Here is a 21098-nt window from a genome sequence, read left to right as displayed (position 1 = left end):
GCTTTTGCAACCCCTGCCAAATCCAAGGTTGTGAAGGTTTACAACTATGCTTTCTTCTAATAATTTTATGATTTTAGCTTTTACATTCAGGCTCTGATGGATTTTGGGTCAATTTTTACATATGGAGTGATGTAGGAATCCAACTTCATTTCTTTTGTTCATGGACATCCTGTTGTCTCAGCACAACCTGTTGAAGAGGCTATTCTTTCCACACTGACTGGACTTAACACCCTGGCCCTATACTTTATGGGGTTATTTCTGGACTTTCAATTCTATTGCACTGGTCTATATGTCTATATATTGGTTTATATAACCTTATGTCATTATCATACTGTGTTAATTACTATAGCTTTATCCTAAGTTTTGAAATTGAGAGTGTGAGTCCTCCTACTTTGTACTTCTTTCTACATGTCTCCATATAAGAGGGAGACAGAGGGAGATTTGATACACAGAAGAGGAGGAGGTGACATGACCAGACAGGAAGAGATTGGAGTGATTTGGCTACAAACCAAGGAATGCCAGCAGCTACTAGAAGCTGGGAGAGGCAAGGAAGGGATTCTCCCTTATAGAGCCTTAAGAGGGAGCACAGCCCCGCCAACACCTTGGTATCGGCCCAGTGATTCTAATTTTGGATTTCTGGCCTCCAGAACATTAACAGAATAAAATTCTGTTGTTTTTAGCCACCCACCCTGTCCTAATTTGTTACAGCAGCCTTGGGGAACTAACACAGATTGAGTATGTCTTGCCTAAAATATTTAGGACCACAAGTGTTCTAGATTTTATTTTTTTTTATTTGGGCATGTCTGCATATACATAATGACATATCTTGGAGGTGGGACCCAAGTCTAAACACAAAATTCATTTATGTTTCATACACACCTTACACACATAGCCTGAAGATAATTTTATACTATGTGATATGGTTTGGCTGTGTCCCACCCACACCCCAAATCTCGTCTTGAATTCCCACGTGTTGTGGGAGGTACCTAGTAGGAGGTAATTGAATTATGGGGGCAGGTCTTTCCCATGCTGTTCTCGTGATAGTGAATAAATCTCATGAGATCTGATGGTTTTAACAAGGGGAGTTTCCCTGTGAGAGCTCTCTCTGCCTGCTGCCATCCATGTAAGACATGACTTGCTTCTCCTTGCCTTCCACCATGATTGTGAGGCTTCCCCAGCCACGTGGAACTGTAAGTCCAATTAAACTTCTTTCTTTTGTAAATTGCCCAGTCTTGGGTATATCTTTATCAGCAGCATGAAAATGGACTAATACTATGTACTATGCATATAAAATTATAGTGTATAATTTTATACTATGTGTATAAAATACACACATATACTCTGTGTGTGTGTGTGTGTGTGTGTGTGTGTGTGTGTAAAATATATATAGAGATGGAGTGTTGTTATGTTGCCCAGGCTGGCCTTGAACTGCTGGGATCAAGCAATCCTCCTGCCCTAGCCTCCTAAGTAGCTGGGACTACAGGTGCATGCCAATGCAACAAGCTATACAGTATTTTAAAAATTTTGTGCATGAAACAAATTTTTGACTGTGTTTTGCCTGCAGACCATCCCATGAGATCAGGTGTAGAATTTTCCACTTGTGTTGTCATGTTGGCCCTCAAAAACTTTCAGATTTTGGAGCATTTCAAATTTCAGATTTTCAGATTAGGGATGCTCAGCCTCTATAGCTTGCTTTGTAAATTTTTGCTGAAAGCTGGACATGTTGAATAAGAAAATAAACACTGAGGTAAATAGACCTTTAGTGTGAGGATTGATGTTAATCTAGCTAGGAGTTGGGCAGCATTTAATGCTTGTTGTAGTTATAGGCACCAGGGACTTCCAATTCATTTAATGTCCTTATTTTCTCCTCTCTTGGCTCTGGAGCTTTCCTTTATACAGCTCCTCAGAGAGTCTGTGTCTTGTAGCTGTAAGTCACTGTACTCTACTGGAGCCTTATTGGTATGTGCTAGAGTGTGGGGGACGGAGGGCATTCCCTAATCCTCTAATTAAGTCTCAATCTGGGGCCTCTTGCTTCAGGAGTGTGGACTTTAGAAGTGTTTTTCTTCTTCCTGCAGGGGTAGAGCTCCCTCCCCTGCCACCACTTTTTTCCTCCCTAGATGGGACAGGAAGTCTGGAGAGGCCTGGAGTGATGCAGAGCTCCTTTAGCCTAGCTAAGATAGAGTTTCAGAAGTGCCCTCTGCCAAAGTCCTTCCCTCTGGCAATGAGGGAAGAGATCCTGGGAGGGTTTCACCATAGCTTTCATTGCATCTCCCTGCTCGGGCCACGTGGGGACCTTTCTCATTGGAACTTGGTGAGCTTTCTGGAGGAAAAACCTGCAAGAGTGTGAGGTCTTCCCTCTCATGCTTCTCCCTCCCATGCTAGTCTGCACGTAGCCTTGGCAATTCATCAGAATTACTGTGTAAGCATTCCCACTGGCTGACTTAGGCCTTGCTGCAGGGAAGCAGAACTTTGGGCTCACATCTATCTGGACTCATCTGATTCTCCAGATTTTTAGGTGGTAGTTTGCTCTGCAACCTCAGTTTTCTAATGGGCTCAAGGAAAGTCATTGATTTTCAGCATATCCAGCATTTTCTTGTTGTAAGGTCAGGAGTAACGACTTCCAAGTTCTTTGCATGTCAGAGTTGAAACCAAAAGTCCCCACTGTGGGGACTTTTAATATCAATCTACTACAGCAAGTAAGAAATATTAAAAGTCACAAAACCATAGGACTATAATCTTGGAATCAAAAAGACTTTGGCACGTAGAGTCATAGAGTTTTACAACTGGAGAATCGTAAATTCTAAGAAGAAAAGTCCCCCAGATTGAAAATCTCCGTGGACTCACCACTATTTATAGGACGACATGACATAAAACGATTTTTATGCTCTGACCCGTTCCATCTCTCCAGCCTCATTTCTCACCACTTATCTCACCTCCTGCCCAAATCCTATTCTCCCTCCCACTCCCCAGCAAACAAATTCCACCCAGGGCTGCAGCCTTGTCCTAACCTACTTCGTATTCTCTGCTGCACCTTGAATATTGCCTGGAACCTAGCAAACCCTCAATGATCATTTGTTAACCTAATGAATAAATAAAATGGTAAAACTCTCTGCACGGTGTGTAGCACACAGAAGTATTAACAGTGACCTACCTCTATCATCCACCTGATTTTTGCCTCATACTCTTCTAAGCATGTCACGTGTATTCATTTTATTTTCATAACCTTATGTGATAGGTGCTATTATGATTCCCATTTTAAAGATGAGGGAAGTGAGGCACAGAGAGGTTAGCAGTTTGCTCAAGGTTACTCAGCTGATAGGCAGCAAACTGTCATAAATAGGTTGTAATTAGCATGAGGCTTCTATTATTTTCCAGGCACTGTGCTAATGCTGGATGCATTGGGTGCGTAATCTCTCATTTCATAATAACTCCCATGTAATGCATGAAGAAATGGAAGTTTAGAGGGGTTAGGTGACGTGTCCAGGGTCACACAGGTAGTAAAAGCTGGAACTAAAATTCGCACCAGGTCTGCCTGCTGTACATCCCACAATTTTTACTATTCTTCGAGCGGCTTCTGCTGGTTGTATGGAAGGTGACACCTTTGCCCCCTTGTCAAGCCATCCAACTCCTCTTCCTTCAAGACATAGCTCAATGATCCCTTGTCTATGAAGCCTTCCCTGGCCTCTTCCCCACCCCACCCCCAGCTGCTGCAGCCAGCCTTCCTTCTCTGAGCCTCCATATCCCACCCACCTGCCCTTCACACCCCAGTGGAGCCCAACGGTTAGAAATTCAGGCTCTCCTGGTGGTCTTAGGTTCAAATTCTGGTTCTGCTGGGTGGACCTTGATTCACCCTTTGTGTGACCATTTGAGCTTTGATTTTTTTTCCATCTGTAAAATGGAGATAAGAAAATCAGTTTGCACAGGGGGCTGGGTGAAAGGTGCATAAATCTTAGCCAAATGCTTACTGAAGCATATACTACACTGTATTATAATGATCTGTGTAAATGTTCATCTCCATATCTTGAGGGCAGGAACTGATACTGATTCTGATGTATCTCTTTGCCCCTAGCACCCAGTATGGCTTAAAATAGGTATTAAATAAATGTGGAGTAAATGAATAAAAAATGAAATAAATGGATCTTAGAATCCTATTCTCATAATTTGATACATAAAACCTAAGGACCTCATGTCACATAACTGCAAAGTTTGAAGGATCTTAGAGATCAACTTCCGGAGGTGTTCAATCTTTTTGACTATCACCCACACTTAGTAATATACTTTATATTGCCACCTAGTGAGTGCACACACGCGCACACACACACACAAACACGGACGCGCACACACACACACCCCGAAAGTTTCAGTGGACAGTTCTTGCCTTTCCTATGTGGGATAAACTCACATAATTCCTCTTCTTTTCTCTTTCCTCGCCTCACCTCCCCTTCTATCTTCTAACTTTTCCCTTCTCCTCCTTTCCTTCTTTTCTTTCCTCTCTCTTCTATCTTTTCCGTTAAAAAAAATTGCTAGTTTAGGTCCGCTAAATCGATTTCATGCCCCATGAAGGCATTGTGACCTATGGTTTGAAAATCACTTATCTAGTCGAATTAGACTCCTTGTCCAGCATCTCTAACTGGAGTTCTATACTTATACTTCCCTGATGAAAGGAAGTTCCCCCAAAAGATAAACAGTTTTGTTACTGGACAGCATTTATTGTTAGAAAGTTCTTCCTTCTCTTAAGCAGAAATGAGCCTCTTATAACTTCCTTATTGGTCTTAGTTGTTCCTATCTAGCTTGCTGGTCTCTCTGTAAGTTATCAAGCAAATCACCTCATCTCATTGAGTTTTCTTTTCTTCTCCTCTTCCTACAGATGTGCCCCACCTAAGTGCTGACAGCCTAAAAGTCCACCATTAAAGCCATTCTTCGGGTTTAAGGCATTGATCTTCACCATCATCTCCCATTATTATATCTGCTTGCTCTCATGGAGACAGGGGTCACTGGGGCCAGTCCACCTGTAGTGGCTGAAGTCTTCATCTCCTGCAGCAGAGAAGTTTGTTGGGACTATGTAAAATATCAAAAGAGGGTTTCTTTAACCCTTAAATCTCTTTTGCTTGTTTTCTTTCCTCAATGGCTTGGATCTTCCCAGTGAGATGCTCAGTGGGGTTAGCAAATAGCATTTTGGAAATCACAACCAATATTGAAGGGTGAAATGGTATGTTAGCCTTTAACACCTTAGTCTAAATTTTCCCCTGCCAGTCTCTTCCATCACTCTAAGATCAGCCAGGAGAGGGGAATTCTAATGCTAGCCCTCTATAGGGTCTCCTCAGGCAAGAGGCAGTAACCAGCCTTCACTCCAAGGTAAGTGTCAGATTCCTAGGACTGAAAGATTCCCTTGGCCCTATACATCCAAACTCTCTCTTCATTCATTCATCGAACAAGTATTTGTTGAGCATCTTCTGTGTGCTACACCTTGTGCTAGGTGTTGCGGATACCATGGAGACCAAGAGAGTCCCCATTCCTGGCCTCCACGGTGCACGCAGTCTAGCAGTAGTGACAATCACCAATGGTAAGAAGGTGCTCTGCTAAGGTCAGGAGTTGAGGGAGCTTGGAGCAGGGTCTCAGCTCACTGTGTGCTGGAGTCAAGGGAAGGCCTCCTGGGGGCGGACATTTGAGCTGAGACCTGAAGGACAAGGAGCATATGGCTGAGTAGTTCATCTCTCCCTGGCTTCCCTCCTTCTCCCCAGCCCCCAATCCAGGCAGCATCAATGCCCCCATCAAGTCATCTTCCTGAACTCATCTGGGTCACTAGCTTAAATCAGCAGTTCTCAAGTTTTAACTCAGTCAGAATGCTGTTTTGTTTAGTTTGTTTAACTGCAGATTTTAGGACCTCTGTAGGATTCTACATCTGGGGTAGGACTGTGTCTGCATGTCAGTCCATGGCTCATATCTTCGGAAATCCTGGTCTATATCAGAATTCCACGGTTTTGGTATTTGCCCTTGACTATTTGTTCAGCTTCTGAAGGAAAGAGGAAAAGGAAGTTCAGGAATGCCAAGGTTGTCTTTCTGGGATTGCAGAGTCTGGGGAGGCATTGGGAGGGTGGCGTTGGTGACAGCAGGGACTGGGGAGTCCTCAGAGGGGTCCAGCAAGGGCCCTCAGTCCTGGCACCCAACAACCTGAGGGACCTCCCAACAGCCAAATCGTGCTCCTGCCTCACCTCACAGCAGTAGACCAACGGCACATGGTAGCACTGGCCACATAATTAGCAGAGCATGTCCCAGAATAATTAAACGTTTCAAAACAGTAACAGCAGAGCAGTAAATCAAGTGCGGGTTCCTCTCAGAGTGGGGCCCTGTGCAATGCAGGGATCAGATAGCCAGCAGGCTCAGCAGTGGGGTGAGTGGAGCCCCGGCCCAGACTAAAACTCCTGGGTACAGGAAATGAAACCAAGCCTGTGAATATTCAAAGAAGAAGGATCCTTAGAGATCACCTGGCTCAGTTCCCTTCATGTCCAGTTGTAGAACCCAAAGCCCAGAGAGATGGCCCAAGCTGACCCTGCAAATTGGTGGCAGAGCCAGATCAGAATCCCAGCCCTGGGACTCTCCTTCCCCCTCTCCCTCTCCCCCAATCTCTTCTTTCCTGAGGTGGTCTCATCCTATGCAATGTCCATGTGGAAACCATCCACATGTTGACAGCTTGCAAATATCTATCCCCCATCTCCATCACCTATCTCTCCCCCAGCTCCAGAGTCCTGTGTCCAGCCATCCCTAACTGCAGTGGCCTCTTGCTTCCTCTTCTCCCCTGCTTCCTTCCTTACCCACCTCCAGCCTGTCCCTCCTCCAACACACACATACACACAGCCACCAGAGTGTGAGTTTCCAATCTGTGACCTGGATCCTGCTCCGGTACTGCTCTCTGCCCAAGGCACTGCACACAGATTACACTCTAACCTCATCAGCACAGCCTCCAAGATCAAGTCCTGCAGTTTCTCCCATGACCATCTGTTCCCTCACTCTGCTCCCACCACAGTGACCTTGCTGTGGCTCACATATGCCCAGCTCATGCCTGCCCTGCAAGTGTATTCCTCTCTCTGGAACATTCTTCTCCTAGAACTCCCTATGACTTCCACTTCCTTCATTCAGGTCTCAGCTCATAGGCCCCTCCCCAGAGAAGGCTTCCTGTGCACACGGTCCAAAATATACGCAGCTACTGTCTATCCCCTGACTTCTTTTTCTTCATACCAGTTAACCTCCCTGGAATTATACTGCCTAGGTATTCCTTTATTTTTACTATCTTGCTCACTGCTCACTTGCTCAGTGCCCCAAATGATGCCTGCCACATAATTGACACTCTATAAAGAATTGCAGGAATAAGTAAATCAATAACGAAACACATTTATTTAACACATGCATGTTCAGGGGCTATTCAGTGTTAGGGGCTGTGTGAGGCACTGAGGTCTCAGACATGGAGCAAGTGGACAAGGAAGGGTTCCTGTCCTCAAGGAGGCTGATCATCGTCTTGGGGAGACACGGACTTGTGTTCGCAGGAGGCTCAGAGTGACATGTGCAGCTTGTCAAGGGTAAGTCTAAGAAGATGGGGTGAGGGTAAAAGATCCATGGGTCCTTGCAGCAAGGAGTTGGATTTTAGGGTCATTGATGTCCTTTTTTTTTTTTTTTTTTTGAGACAGAGTCTCTCTCTGTCCCCAGGCTGGAGTGCACTGGCGCGATCTCAGCTCACTGCAACCTTTGCCTCCTGGGTTCAAGCGATTCTCTTGCCTCAGCCTCCTGAGTAACTAGGATTACAGGCGCATGCCTCCGCGCACAGCTAATTTTTGTATTTTTAGTAGAGACAGGGTTTCTCCATGTTGGTCAGGCTGGTCTCGAACTCCTGACCTCATGATCCGCCTTCCTTGGCCTCCCAAAATGCTGGGATTACAGGCATGAGCCACTGCACCTGGCCCAGTGTCCCTTTTCTGAAGAGCTAGCAACTCTCTGTCCTCTCTGGGCCCTCAGCCTGTTAGGCCAGCACAGGGGCCCATATTCATGATGAGGGCTCTTGGGTCCCCAGCTCCTATAAAAGGTTGTGCTTATAGAGTACGTGACAGCCAGTTCTTGCCGGTGCTAGAATAAGGAAGGAGACTGACGTGACTCTACTCAGAGGAAGCCAAGCCTTACCCAGTGGACGCATGGCCCAGCCTGGGCTAGCCCTGTGGGTACTTTGGCATTCCTCAGGCCACTCCTTGGAGAACCTCATCTTCTCCACTTCCCCTTCAGCCTTCCAGCCCCACAAGGCAGGCTGCCCATGGCTGCCCACCCACTGCAGCTTAGCCCTAGTGTTGCCAGTCTTCTCCTTCTGTGTAGATGGTGTGATTAAGCTGGAGGGCTGAGACAGGAGCCCTGAAGGAAGCCCACTTCCTCCAGGAAGGCTTCTCTGCTTTCTCAGTGGGATTGCTTCCTTCTGTCCCTTGCCCTGTAGCACATACCTTCCTCTTAGTCTGTTTATCCATGGATCCACCCATCCATCCACCCATCCATCCATCCACCCACCCATCCATCCATCCAACAAACATTCATCCGGCACTTATTTACACTAGTGACCAAGGACATGGTCCCTGTCCTCCAGAGCCTACAGTCTAATAAGGGAAAGAGTTATTATGCAACTAGTTTCAAGTTAACAGTTTAATTATAACTGTGATAAATGCTCTGCAAGAGAAGTATTTGAACCCACAGGGAGACATTAGGGTAGAAAAGACTTCCCTGATGAAGAATGTTTCACCCAAGACCTCACTGTCGACTATGGTAGCCAGTAGCCACACGTGACTATTGAGTGTCTGAAATGTGGCTAGTGTCACCAAGGAACTGAGGGTAGATGAATAATTTTACCAAACTTTATAAAGTAACTATTCTGTGTCAGGCCCTGCCCAGTCCAAACTAGTCTGGTTGAAAATGCCAACATTACATCTAGTTCAGCGTCCACTTCCTTCTCTCACCCCAGCCCACTGCTGCCTCCAAGTCCCTGCTGAGGGATCTGGAAGGGATGGAGGTGAAGCATTCTTTTGTCCCTCCTCCTTTCCCTGAATTGGGTCTGTCTATCATCTGGTGTGTTAGGGCCTGGGAAGGGAGATGGAAAAAGAGGGACTTCTTTTACCCAGCAATGCTCTGTTCACTATGGCTGGACTCTGGAAGCCAGCTGCCTCCTAGGGCACAGGTGTGGATTCCTAGGAGGATCCTGAATGTGTGCATGTGTGCATGCATGTGCACGTGTGTGTGCCCATGTGTGTATGCTGTGGGGGTACACAGTCTGCTGCACAGTCTCTTTTATGCATGATCTGATCCAGGTTCACAGCTCCCCGCTGGAGTCCATGCTGCAGTCTCTTACTCCTAGGCCCTCTTGCCAGTGGTCATCTCTCTTGAGTGGGATGCTCTAAGGTCGGCTCCCCCCTTTCAATGAGGGTCTCTCCATGGACCTCACCCCCTTGCCACTCTGCATGGAGGAAGCTTGAGCTGCTGCCCTGCCACCCCGTCACTCTACCCTGCTGTCTCTTTTCAGTTCCTTTTTCTCCTGCTCAGGGCAACATCAAGGTGGATCAGCAAATCCACTGTTGCTTCAGGAGACACCTGGAAAAAGAAAAGCCAGCCTCCTCCTCCTGCAGGCACGTAATATCTAGGAGTCATTTTGGGGTGCCTTGCTTGGCTGAGTAGTGGTGGGGGGTTGTGAGGTCAGGGGAGTTTCCATAACAGCCTCACCCAGGCTAGAAAACTCCTCTCTAGCCTCTCCCTCCACTTTAGCTGAGCGTACAGACCCCAAAGAGATGGGATGGCTGGGGAGCAGGCTGGGCTTGGCTGCTTTGTAATCAGTCTTGAGAACATACCTGGCCCCAAAGGTTCATTTGTTATTAGCGAGTATCTATTCTGTGCCCAGCACTGTGTGGCTGCTGGTTACAGCCATGAACAAAAAGCAGTAGTCTTCAGGGCAAATCATTTGTTTTTCATGAGGGAAATGGATAAAAACGAGTAATATACATCAGGGCTAACCATTGGAAAGCCCAGTAACGTAGGGTAAGGAAATGGAGAGAGACCAAAGGGAGAGGTTGTTTTCATAGGGAGGTCAGGGAAACTGGTGGCTGTGTTTCAAACTCATGTTTCCCCAACGTGGAGCCTAGTAGACAGTTCTGGGCCATGGGAAATCCGTGCCACCATTGTCCAAGCCCAGTTAAGCTGTGAGGCAAGGGTTGGGTTTCAAAGTCTAGGGTCTTTCTTGGTTGCACGTGGTTGTGTATGTCAAGGCTCACTTCTCAACCCTCTGGGCCCATATCTGATCCATTCTGCATTCCCAGAAGCCGTGTCTGGGCCTGGGACAGGGCAGGCTCTTGATGCTGCTTGTTCAGCATGGAGGAGCCTCCAGGACAAGGGACATCAAGGCTCAGCCTATCAGAGGCCAGCTCTGTGGCTTGAAGCTTGAGGCAGAGCTCAGCCGCTTTCTGGTTTTGCTCATGGGGAATCAGGGACAGTCGGAACCCATTAAAAGGCTCCAGATGCCTCCCTGGTTAGACACCTCAGGCCTGAAGGTTTGCAGCTTGGAAGGAGGCCGTGGCCACAGTGACCACTTCCCTCACTGTGGCTCAGGCCTCTGTTCCAGGCATGGCAGAGAATGGGGTGGGGTAGGCAGCTGGGAAGTATAAGGCCTGCTCCAGGCTGTCAGAGGCTGGTCAGTGGCTCCTGGGCTCTTTCAGGGCCTTATCCAGTGGTTGCCACCAGGAACAGACCAGGAGCACTGTGAGTCTCTCACCATGGCTACCACACCTGGGCGGGCCCTGGGCTCCCTCCTGCCCACCCTTCTGCTGGGACTCACAGGTGAGTCCTGATTCCTGCCCAGAGAGACCCTCAGGGCAGGCAAGGAGACCCCCAGGAATGACCAAATCCAGCCACTGTGTCTTTCTGAAGGAAGACTGAGGCTCAGAGGAGGTGACTGAGCTGTTTTCCTGCCAGTCAGGTGCTGTTTTGCATCTTTTCTTCAATGTAGACCTTGCGGACAAAGGGAGCTGGTGGGAGCTTGGGGGTCAGAAGAGGAAGTGACCTAAGGGTGAGGGGCTCGGGGGAGGTCAGGGGGTAAAAGAGGAGCCCACCTCCCAGTTTTCCCGATGTCAGCTCTAGTCTGGGTGGCTACCTGTTCTGGGTCAGAGAGGGTGTAAGGGTGGAAAAGACAGAGCGAGAGAAAGAAAGAGAGAGAGAGAAAAAAAAGAGAGAGAGAGAAGTCGCCAGAGTGATGGAGCCTCCGGCATTGGAGGCATGGAAGAGTCCTGGACCCAAAGTCAGACAGGCCTTCTTACCCTCCCTCTTTAGTCACTGATAGGCTGTGTGACCTTGAGCAAGTCACGAGACCTTTCTGAATCTCTGTTTCCTTTTCTGGAAAGTGAGGACAATAATACCAGCCTCCCACAGCTGAGATGTGGAAGAAAAGAAGCACACATGGCTGAAAATGTTTTCTGAACCACACGGTGCTGTGTGCAGGGTGGGTGATGAGGGCAGAGCACAGTCCAGAAGGTACCAGAGCTGTGTGCTAAGAGGACAAGTTCCTATGGCCTCCTGCGCTGCCCTCTGCCTGTCATCCTGCTTGTCATTGGTTGTTTATTTGCCTTTCACCCCCATCTGACCAGATGCTTCTCAAGGGTGGGGGTCCTGTCTGACTCATCTCTGTGGTCTCAGCACCCAGCTCTTGACCTGGTGCAGAGCAGGGGCTTAGGGAATGCTGTGAAGACTTGGGGAGTTTCTTGCTCCAGAGCTCTGCAAGGCTGTCCTTAGAAGGAGGGGTGAGTCTCATCCTGCAGTTTTCCTGGGAAAATTCTGGGAGACAGATCCCAGGTTATATCCCAGAAGCAGGAAATATTTTGTCATAGTCCTAGCTGGGTGTGAGGGTGAATGGAGCTGCTTCTCATGGAGACAGCTCCCTGTCACTGCAGGTAAGCAAGCAGACAACGGGGGTCTAGTGAAGTGTTGATGGGAGGCACCCGAGTAGGGGGGCCAACCATCCCTGTTGGGGTGATTCTTGACTTTACACTCAAGTCCTTATAAACTTACATCCACAATGGAAATCCTGATTCATCACCATTCCCTTCCTATCCCAACTTGGTCCTTCTCCAGATCTTCCCAGCTCAAAAAGTAGAGCTACCACCCACACAGCTGCTCTAGAGAAAACCTGGGAATTGTTGATCCAGAATTCATTCTGTCCCTCACCCCCCATCCCGCCCATCACTGAGTCCTGTGGGCTGTATCTTCCAAATGTGTCTCGAGCCTCCTTTTCTCACCACCCTAGTCCAGGCTACCATCACCTTGGCCTGGAGGTCTGTACCAGCTTCCCCACTGGTCTCCCTGCTTCCATTCCTGCCACGCTCCTTCCCATTCTCCACACAACAACCCCAGTTATCCTCTAAAAAATGTACATCAGACCACTTTGCCCCTCTGTTAAAGTCTCTGCTGGTTTCCCATCACTCTCAGAATAGAATCAAGATCATCACCATGGTCCCCAGGCTCTTCTCACTCTGGACCTCTTTGCCATGACACTAGGGTCCCCTACAGACTTCTCAGTTTCTCAAGCCCACCAAGCCCTTCCTGCCTGAGGTCCTTCTCTCCTGCTGTCCCCGCTGTCTGGAATGTCCTTCCTCTGTCCCTTCCCATTGCTGGCTCCTATTCATTCCTGAGTTTCAGCTCAATGATGTCACCTCCTCAAGTAATTCTTCCCCAGCTGCCCTTCTAGAATAAGTCCTCCCTGTATTCTCCATCTATGCAGTCTTTGGGTTTCCTTGATGGCACTGGGATCAGTCATAATCACATTTGCATTTGCTTGTTTTCTTATGATCAAATGCCGATATGCTGCCTGAAGACAGAATCAGACACAGCATATAGTAGGCCCCCAGGGCCTGACACAGCTCTGGTGCCACTGGTGCCTGTGGGGTGTGTCCCACTCTCAGTGTACAATCACAATTGCTCTTTCCTTAGCTGGACAGCCCTTCATCTCTCTGACTGGTCCATCTCACAGGACAAGCCCTGGAGACTCAGTGCCTTTCAACTGTACTGCTGTCCCCTTCAACTCCCAGGACTTCTCCCGGGACTTCAATGTTACGTGGTTGAAGGACAGTGATGAACATCCAGCCTCAGCTCAGCGCCTGGTGCCTGACAATGGAGGCAATGACTTCATCACCAGCAAGGCATGGGTGACACTGACCCGACAGGATGTCTCATCTGAGATCACCTGCGAAGTCACCCACAGGGCCCTGGCAGAGCCCCTGAAAACAACCATGAATCTCTCCCAAGTGCTCTGAGGTGAATGGGCAGTCAGGTGGGGTGGACATTAACCCTGGAAGCATCCAGCTTTCAGGGTTTTTGCCCAAAGCCTCATTTCATAAATGGGGAAATGAAATTCCTCATGGATTTCTGATCATGTGTATTGTGGTTATAAGCGCAGGTTCCAGGGGCTCGCTGTCTGGGTTTTAATCCTAGCTGTGCCACTTTACAACTTGTGGGATCTTGTGAGTTACTTGACTATTTAATACCAGTTTCTTTATATAACAGGAAAAAAATGAGGACCTACTTCATAGCTGTCCTGTGAAGATTAAATGAATTATTCCTTATAAAACACACATAACAGTGCCTGGCATGCAGTGACTTACTTACGAATGTTTGATCTTGTTATTATCTGGTCCCAGACTCCCTTTCTAAACATCTTTGTTCTATTAATGTCATTGTTACAGTTTTTTTTTTAAATGTTTATTATTCATTTAATAATAATGAATATCCACTGTATGCCAGACCCTGTGCTCAGTGCTGGGGATGCAGCAACGAGCAAAATAAAGTCCCTGTCGTCATGGGCATCACCTTTTACTAATTCTTAAAATTATATTTTCTGATATGAAATATTTCAAAAATACAGAATATAGCAGACACCCAGGTACCCTTACCCATATTTAATGAATATTAACATTTAGCCCTATTTGCTTTACATTACGCATACAAGAAAAAAATATTTCTTTAAAAAAAGGCGAGAGACCTTGAGGCTGTTCCCTGGGAGAGGGAAGCATGGGTGGCCACAGGCAGGGGCTGATTTCACCAGGTCTTACTTCCTATTCCTCTGTCTAGTTGTCCCCACCCTGAAGATCACCACTGAAACCTCTGGGACCCATGTACATGTGCAAGACAGAGTGAATCTCACCTGCCACGTCCTCCACTTCTATCCCGCCCACCTGCGACTCACCTGGATGGAGAACAGGAGCATGATCCAGACCCTGGTGTCCCCTCGTCCCCTCAGGCCACCAGAAATCCAGATGGGACATACTCTCTGGAGCACACGTGGCAGGCAGAGGCCACGCTGGAGGAGCGTGAGTTTGCTTGCTGGGTGGTCCACGATGAGCAGCCCCCACTCAAGGCCAACGTCACCCTGCAAGCCCAGGTGCGCAGGCAGGGGAAAGGTGGGTACAGCCTCTGGCCCAGCCCCTCTGGACATCCCCTGTGGGCAGCACGGCTGGGGAGGGTCAGAGACTCAGGGCGGCATTGGATGATGGTGAAGGAAGGAAGGATACCCGCAGCTGGTGATACAACTCTCACACATTCGCCCCCAGACTCCACTTCTCACGCCTTCCTCCACACCCTCCCCAAGAAGAAAGGGTGGGACTCCCCTTCCCTAATTCCATGCATTCTTGATGTTGAAAGTTCTCCACCTTAACACTTGACTGCAAGAAATGGCAGAGGTTAAGGACTGCTGAGCACCAAAGTGCCTTCTAGAAAGGCTATTAATCAAGACTGGCACAGTTGAAAGTTTCTGGATGGCAACTTTAAACAGAGGCCAGAATTCTGAATTCAGCTGGAAAAGAGGGTCCATGCACGGCCTTACGTAGGGTCAGGGCAGGCCCTTACACGGGGTCAGGACAGACCCTTACATGGGGTCAGGACAGGCCCTTACACGGGGTCAAACAGATCCTCCTCCTCCTTTCCCTTTCCTTTTCCCCCTCACTTTCCTTCTCCTTCCATCCTTCTCTTTTTCCTTGTCCTCTTCACTTTCTCTCTTTTTTGAGTATTTTTATATTATCTTATTATTATTTTTTTAACTTTGGTTTTAGGTCTGGGCCCATGTGCAGGTTTTTACATAGGTAAACTGTGTTGGGGGCAGTTTGGTGTACAGCCTCTGTTATTTTTTGACTTTTTAATAATAGCCATTCTGGCTGGTGTGGGATGGTATCTCATTGTGGTTTTAATTTGCATTTCTTTAATGATTAGCGATGAACATTCTTTCACATGCTTGTTTACCGCGGGTGTGTCTTCTTTTGAAAAGTAGCTGTTCACATCCTTCGCCCACTTTTTAATGGTGTTATTTTTTTACTTGTTAGTTTATTTAAGTTCCTTATAGATTGTGGATCTTCGACCTTTGTCGGATGCGCGCTTTGCGAATATTTTCTCCCATTTTGTGGGTCGTCTGTTGGCCGTGCTGATCGTTTCTCTGGCCCGCCTTGCCGCCTGGAATCTCTGCCTCCGTCTCTCGCTCACTCTTTGCGGCCTCAAACCGTTTTCTCCACAAGAGGGAGCTGTCGGCCGGCAGTTCAGACCCAGAGAGCGCGGGCGGCGCTCCTTCCGCCCGGCTGGGATGAGCTCGGGAGAATGAACTACCGGCCCAGAGGCTGGGATGAGCTCGGGAGAATGAACTACCGGCCCAGAGGCTGGGATGAGCTCGGGAGAATGAACTACCGGCCCAGAGGCTGGGATGAGCTCGGGAGAATGAATTACTGGCCCAGAGTGGGCCGGCTGGGCGGTGGGGGCGCTCAGTGTCCGAGAGGGTGGGTGGAGGTCATTAGGATCGGCCGGGCCTTGTGAGCTAGGGGTAAGCCAGCCTATGGACCCACAGCCCTCCAGAACCACGTGAAGTCAAAAAGGACAGTCCCCTGGGGGCAGTGAGGGTGGATGCCTCGGAGTATTACAGCGCAGGCCGCTGCCAGGGTAAGGGTGCCGGACCGGCAACAACAGCCCATCTTCCCACCAGGGCCCTCCACCTCGCATTCTCTCTCTCCCTGACGGAATTGGCCTCTTATCTGGCTGCTGTAAGAATTCTTAAGAGGAATGATCCCACTCAGCTTTCAGTCTCCCCGTGCCTTTTTGTCTGTTGTCCAGCAGAGAGAAGAAAAACACTCACCCAGCAGGATATACAGGTCTGGCTGAAAAACTCAAAACTGGTCCTTTCTGATCAGAAGCAAGTTACGATACTTCTTTATTGACTCATGCTGGTTTTTTCTTCTTTTATTTTTCTCTTTTGCCTGCATGCGGTATATCTGGCCCACTGCTGCAACATTAACCCCCTGGGAGCATCCTTTTGATTATATGGCTCCGCTATGCAGCTTTGTGGGGCCCCGTGGTCTGCAGGGGGAAGGGCAGCCCCTTCCTTTTCTGGCATTTAGGCCCCTTTCTATTTGGTGTTAACAAAGCATTGCAGCTATCCTTCCCCAACCTGGCCCATAAATGCCTTCATCAGCACCCTCACCTGTTACGAACTCCCCACTCTGTCTCTGTTCCTACTGGGTGACACCCGTAGAGCATTTACTGCACACTAGGCATCCTCAAATACATTATCTGATCCTACAACAGAGCCCAGAGCTAGCACAGGGACCAAGGTCTCAGAGGTTCCAAACAGCATAGCTGGGGTTAGAATGCAGGCGTGTCTGTTCAAAAATTCAATGTGTTTTTCTGCATTTTTCTTTCCTATCCTGCCCGAGAATACAAAGCTTAGTGTTATCTCAAGTCTCTTCTCAAATCTCAATTTTAAATGCTCTATTTCTGATATTTATTTCTTCCTGAATTGTGTGGTCTTATCGGTCCATACCAGTTAGTTCTCACAATTAGTATTTAAACTACAAGGGCGTTCCCAAAGTCCCCCGACCTGGGGTTTTATTCCATTTACACCCATCTTCCGTGATTAGACTCTCACATCCTTGAAGCAGGGACTGGCTCTTATGTTTCGAGGTGGCCAAACGTCGGAGTCAAACAGATCAGTGTCCCCAGCCATGTGACCTAAGACAAAACAACTCCCTTTCTTTTTTTGAGATGGAGTTTTGCTCTTATGGCCCAGGCTGGAGTGCAATGGTGTGATTTCAGTTCACTGCAATCTCTGCCTCTCGGGTTCAAGTGATTCTCCTGCCTCAGCTTCCCAAGTAGCTGGGATTACAGGCACACACCACCATGGCCAGCTAATTTTGTATTTTTAGTAGAGATGGGGTTTCACCGTGTTGGTCAGGCTGGTCTCGAACTCCTGAACTCAGGTGATCCACCTACCTCGGCCTCCCAAAGTGCTGGGTTACAGGCGTGAGCCACCACACCTGGCCGCAACTCCCTTTCTGAGTCAAGTTTTCCATTGTTGTAATGACAATTGTTATACCCACCTCAAAGAGCCCTGCTTAAGATTCCTTTCCTTGACTCCTGCTTGGCATCTGGACAATGGGGCCCATAGCAAGTTCTCTGCAGTGACTGTTTGCAGTTTCCACAGTGCCTAGCCCAGAGCTGAGCTGCAAGTAGGACAATATTAAAGGTCATTGGTTAATATAGAGCCAACTGTGCAGAAGTAGAGGCAGCTATGATGTAACAGAAAAAGGCCTTGGCTTGGAGTCAGAATTCCTGGGTTACAATGTCAGTTCTGTTCACTGTGAGGCCCTTGGATGAGTCACTAACCCTCCCTGAGCCTTTTCTTTATCTGTTAATATTAAAAATATGATTAATAATAATTCCTTGGATGGTCATTGTGAGTATATGGTGCGGAGGGCTACCGTTTATATAGTGATTACTGTGTGCTACATATTCTACACTAGTTACATCACTTAATTTATTAATTAACTCTGAGAGAAATGCAAATCAAAACCACAATTAGATACCATCTCACACCAGTCAGAATGGCAAGTATTAAAAACTCAAGAAATGACAGATGCTGGCAAGGCTGTGGAGCAATAGGAACGCTTTTACACTGTTGGTGGCAATGTAAATTAGTTCAACCATTGTGGAAGACAGTGTGGTGATTCCTCAAGGATCTAGAACCAGAAATACCATTTGACCCAGCGATCCCATTACTGGGTACATACCCAAAGGAATATAAATCATTCTATTACAAAGATACATACATGCGTATGTTCATTGCAGCACTACTCACAATAGCAAAGCAGTAAAATAAATTCCTTGACATGGAATCAATCCAAATGTCCATTGGTGATAGACTGGATAAATAAAATGTGGTACATATACCCCACGGAATACTACGCAGCCATAAAAAGGAATGAGATTGTGTCCTTTGCAGGGATGTGGATAAAGCTGGAAGCCATCATCCTCAGCAAACTAATGCAGGAAGAGAAACTCAAACACTACGTGTTCTCACTCATAAGTGGGAGCTGAACAATGAGAACACATGGACACACGGAGGAGAACAACACACACCGAGGCCTGTTGCAGCAGGTGAGGGGAAGGAGAGCATCAGGACCAAAAGCTAATGCATGCGGGGCTTAATACCTAGGTGACGGGTTGATAGGTGCAGCAAACCACCATGGCACATGTTTACCTATGCAACAAACCTGCACATTACGTACATGTATCCCAGAACTTAAAGTAAAATAAAATTTAAAAAAAGAAAGAAAAGAAAAATGTACTTCATCAAAACTAATGGCTAAATAAACAAAGGAAGTCTGAATTTAATTATACTCCAGATATCAAAATGGGATGAATAGTTGTTATAAAATTTAAGCCATTCTTCTTCTATTAAAAAAAATCGCCCCCATTTTACAGATGAAAAAACTGAGGCTCAGAGAGTTAAGTTGCTTGGGCTTCAGTGGAGAGTGGAAATGTAAACTTGGGTTGAGTGAGATCCTAAAGCCTGTGCTCCTAACCTTTTCTCCATGGTTCCAGCCTCTTCTCCATGACCCAGCCTCTGAGAAATGAGGTTTTCTTCCATTTTCAAAGACTGAGGGTAGGGCTGAGTGACAGTAAGGGGTGCCGACCCTGGAGCCTGACTACCTGGCTAAGATCCCAGCTCTGCCACTGACTGATGGACCTTAGACAAGTTACTTAGCCTGCCTGGCCTCAGTTTCCTCATCTGTGAAATGGGGATAGTAACAGCACCCACTTCTGAGGGCTGCTGTGAGAACTCAGTGACTTAGGGAAGAGCCTGTAGGCAGGGTAGGTGCCAAGTGAGTGTTCGCTATGCAGTATCTGTAGGAGTTGACCTCCTTACAAACTGCTGTTGCCCATTGCTACAGTTTCACTGTCCGGCCTCCGTTATCAGATTCAGAAACTGGTTCCTATCAGAACATAACCTTTACATCTTATGAAAGAGGAAGCAATGGGCTTCTTGGCAGATGCTGTGTATTTGTTCACACTGGGGTTCAGGCACCTCTGTGCCCTCTCATGGGAGGGGTCTATCCTTGCAGGCCAGAGTGTCCAGCCTTACAAGTTGCAAGGCCCCCTTCAGCGATCTGAGCCTGGCACAAGGATCCGATTGACCTATGCATCCTCTGGGTTCTCGACACACCAGGTTACTGTGACCTGGCTTAAAAACAAACACGAGCTCCCAAACCCCCAGACCAGCGTCCAGTACAGTGGACACACCTACAATGTGACCAGCAGTGTGCTTGTCCCGCTGATGGATGATGATGTGTTCTCCCACGTCGTTTGCCATGTGGAGCACAAGTTGACGTGGTTTTTCCAGAAAACCACTGGCCTGGACCAGTACCTCCAGGGTAAGATCTCTCTCTCTGCTCAGCTGAGGTAGTGCAGAGTTGGGGTGGGGACTTCTCTGAGCCTCAGTTTCCTCAATGAAAAATGAAGAAGAACCTTCAATGATAAGCAAGCACATCCCTTGTTTGATTGAGGCAAGAATTTAGTGAAATAATACCTGTAAAGCACGTAAGACAGTGCCTTGCTCATACTAACTACTCAGAAGTGGCAATTGTTATTATTATTATTATTTACAGCACTTCTCAGAACTCACTTCTTTCATCTGTAAAATGGAGACAGGATATCTTCTGGGAATTCAATTTTATTATTATCATTATTTTATAGGAAGAAGATTTGAAGAGCTTGGGAAACTAAATTCTAGGGCCAATGGTGTCTTTAGACGGGTTGGACCAATGCTTGGTAGATCTGTGAATTCCATGAGGTCATAAAGTATCATGCCTAGAAGAAATCTTAACCGTCATCCCATTGTTCTGACAACTGTAAAAGTCAGAGAAGGCAAGTGAGTGGTCCAAGCTTGCATAGCAGTAAAATTAATTCCTTGAATGTATATTGGACTTTAAAATCTACAAACTATATCTCTCTTCATTTTCTCATTCACAAAACAGGGGGAGAATTGTGCTATTGGGAAGTAAACACATCATGTTACATGGCAGAAAATATTGGTAGTAATGTCTCAAACATTTACAGCACGCAGACAGTAAAGCACACTCATGTGAATGGACTTCAATGCATAGAACTTCCCTATACTGTTTGTGCCATTTGTGGGTTACAGAAGGAAACTGAGGCTCAAAGAAGTGAAGGCTGCTTAAGGTTGTAAAGCCGGTGAGTGAGAAACCTTGGCATGAATTCCAGCTTCCAACTCTGCTCTATTTACCAGTTGTGGGATCTGCTGCAAGTCGCTTATGTTCTCCCATCCTCAGTATTTTTGTCTGTAAAATAGAGAAATGATAGTTCAGGGAATCTTCCTTATCTGAGTATTTATTATGTAATTCTCCTGAGCTAGGACGATGGTGTTGAGAAGCAAAAGTTATAGAAAATACAAATTTTCAAAAATAAATCGATTACATATAAAATTAGCTCCCACTCCAAGCCCCTCCCTACTCAACACTGCATGCATCTCAGGGCTGTGCTTCCTCTCATGGAAATATCTTTGTGGGTATCTTTATTTGGGTTCCCCTGAAAGCAGAGCCTGAACCCAGGACTTGGGGGTAGGTGGTTGGAGGGTGATGCTGAGAGGTTGGGATGAGGGAGCAGGGAGAGAGATACTAGCTTTGCAGGGGGTCGGCCAAGAAAGAGTGAGTTATTGAGCTGGATGGCCCTGTGGAAAACTGGGGCCCAATGACACTGGAGACCCTCTG

The 21098-nt window shown here is 47.2% G+C and overlaps 1 pseudogene across 1 annotated transcript; it reads left to right on the top strand.

The window, feature by feature from the left end:
• Window positions 1-13229: 13229 nt before the first annotated feature.
• Window positions 13230-19611, top strand: LOC100289473 (cytoskeleton associated protein 2-like pseudogene; annotated as a pseudogene). Its single transcript, NR_037142.1, has 4 exons — window positions 13230-13314; window positions 14128-14456; window positions 18311-18465; window positions 19434-19611. The product of NR_037142.1 is annotated as a cytoskeleton associated protein 2-like pseudogene (transcript).
• The last annotated feature ends 1487 nt before the right edge of the window (window positions 19612-21098 follow it).

Source organism: Homo sapiens, chromosome 20 (assembly GCF_000001405.40).
Source record: "Homo sapiens chromosome 20, GRCh38.p14 Primary Assembly".
In the NCBI taxonomy this organism is placed as follows: domain Eukaryota; kingdom Metazoa; phylum Chordata; class Mammalia; order Primates; family Hominidae; genus Homo; species Homo sapiens.
This window is presented reverse-complemented; position numbering and strand designations above follow the sequence as displayed.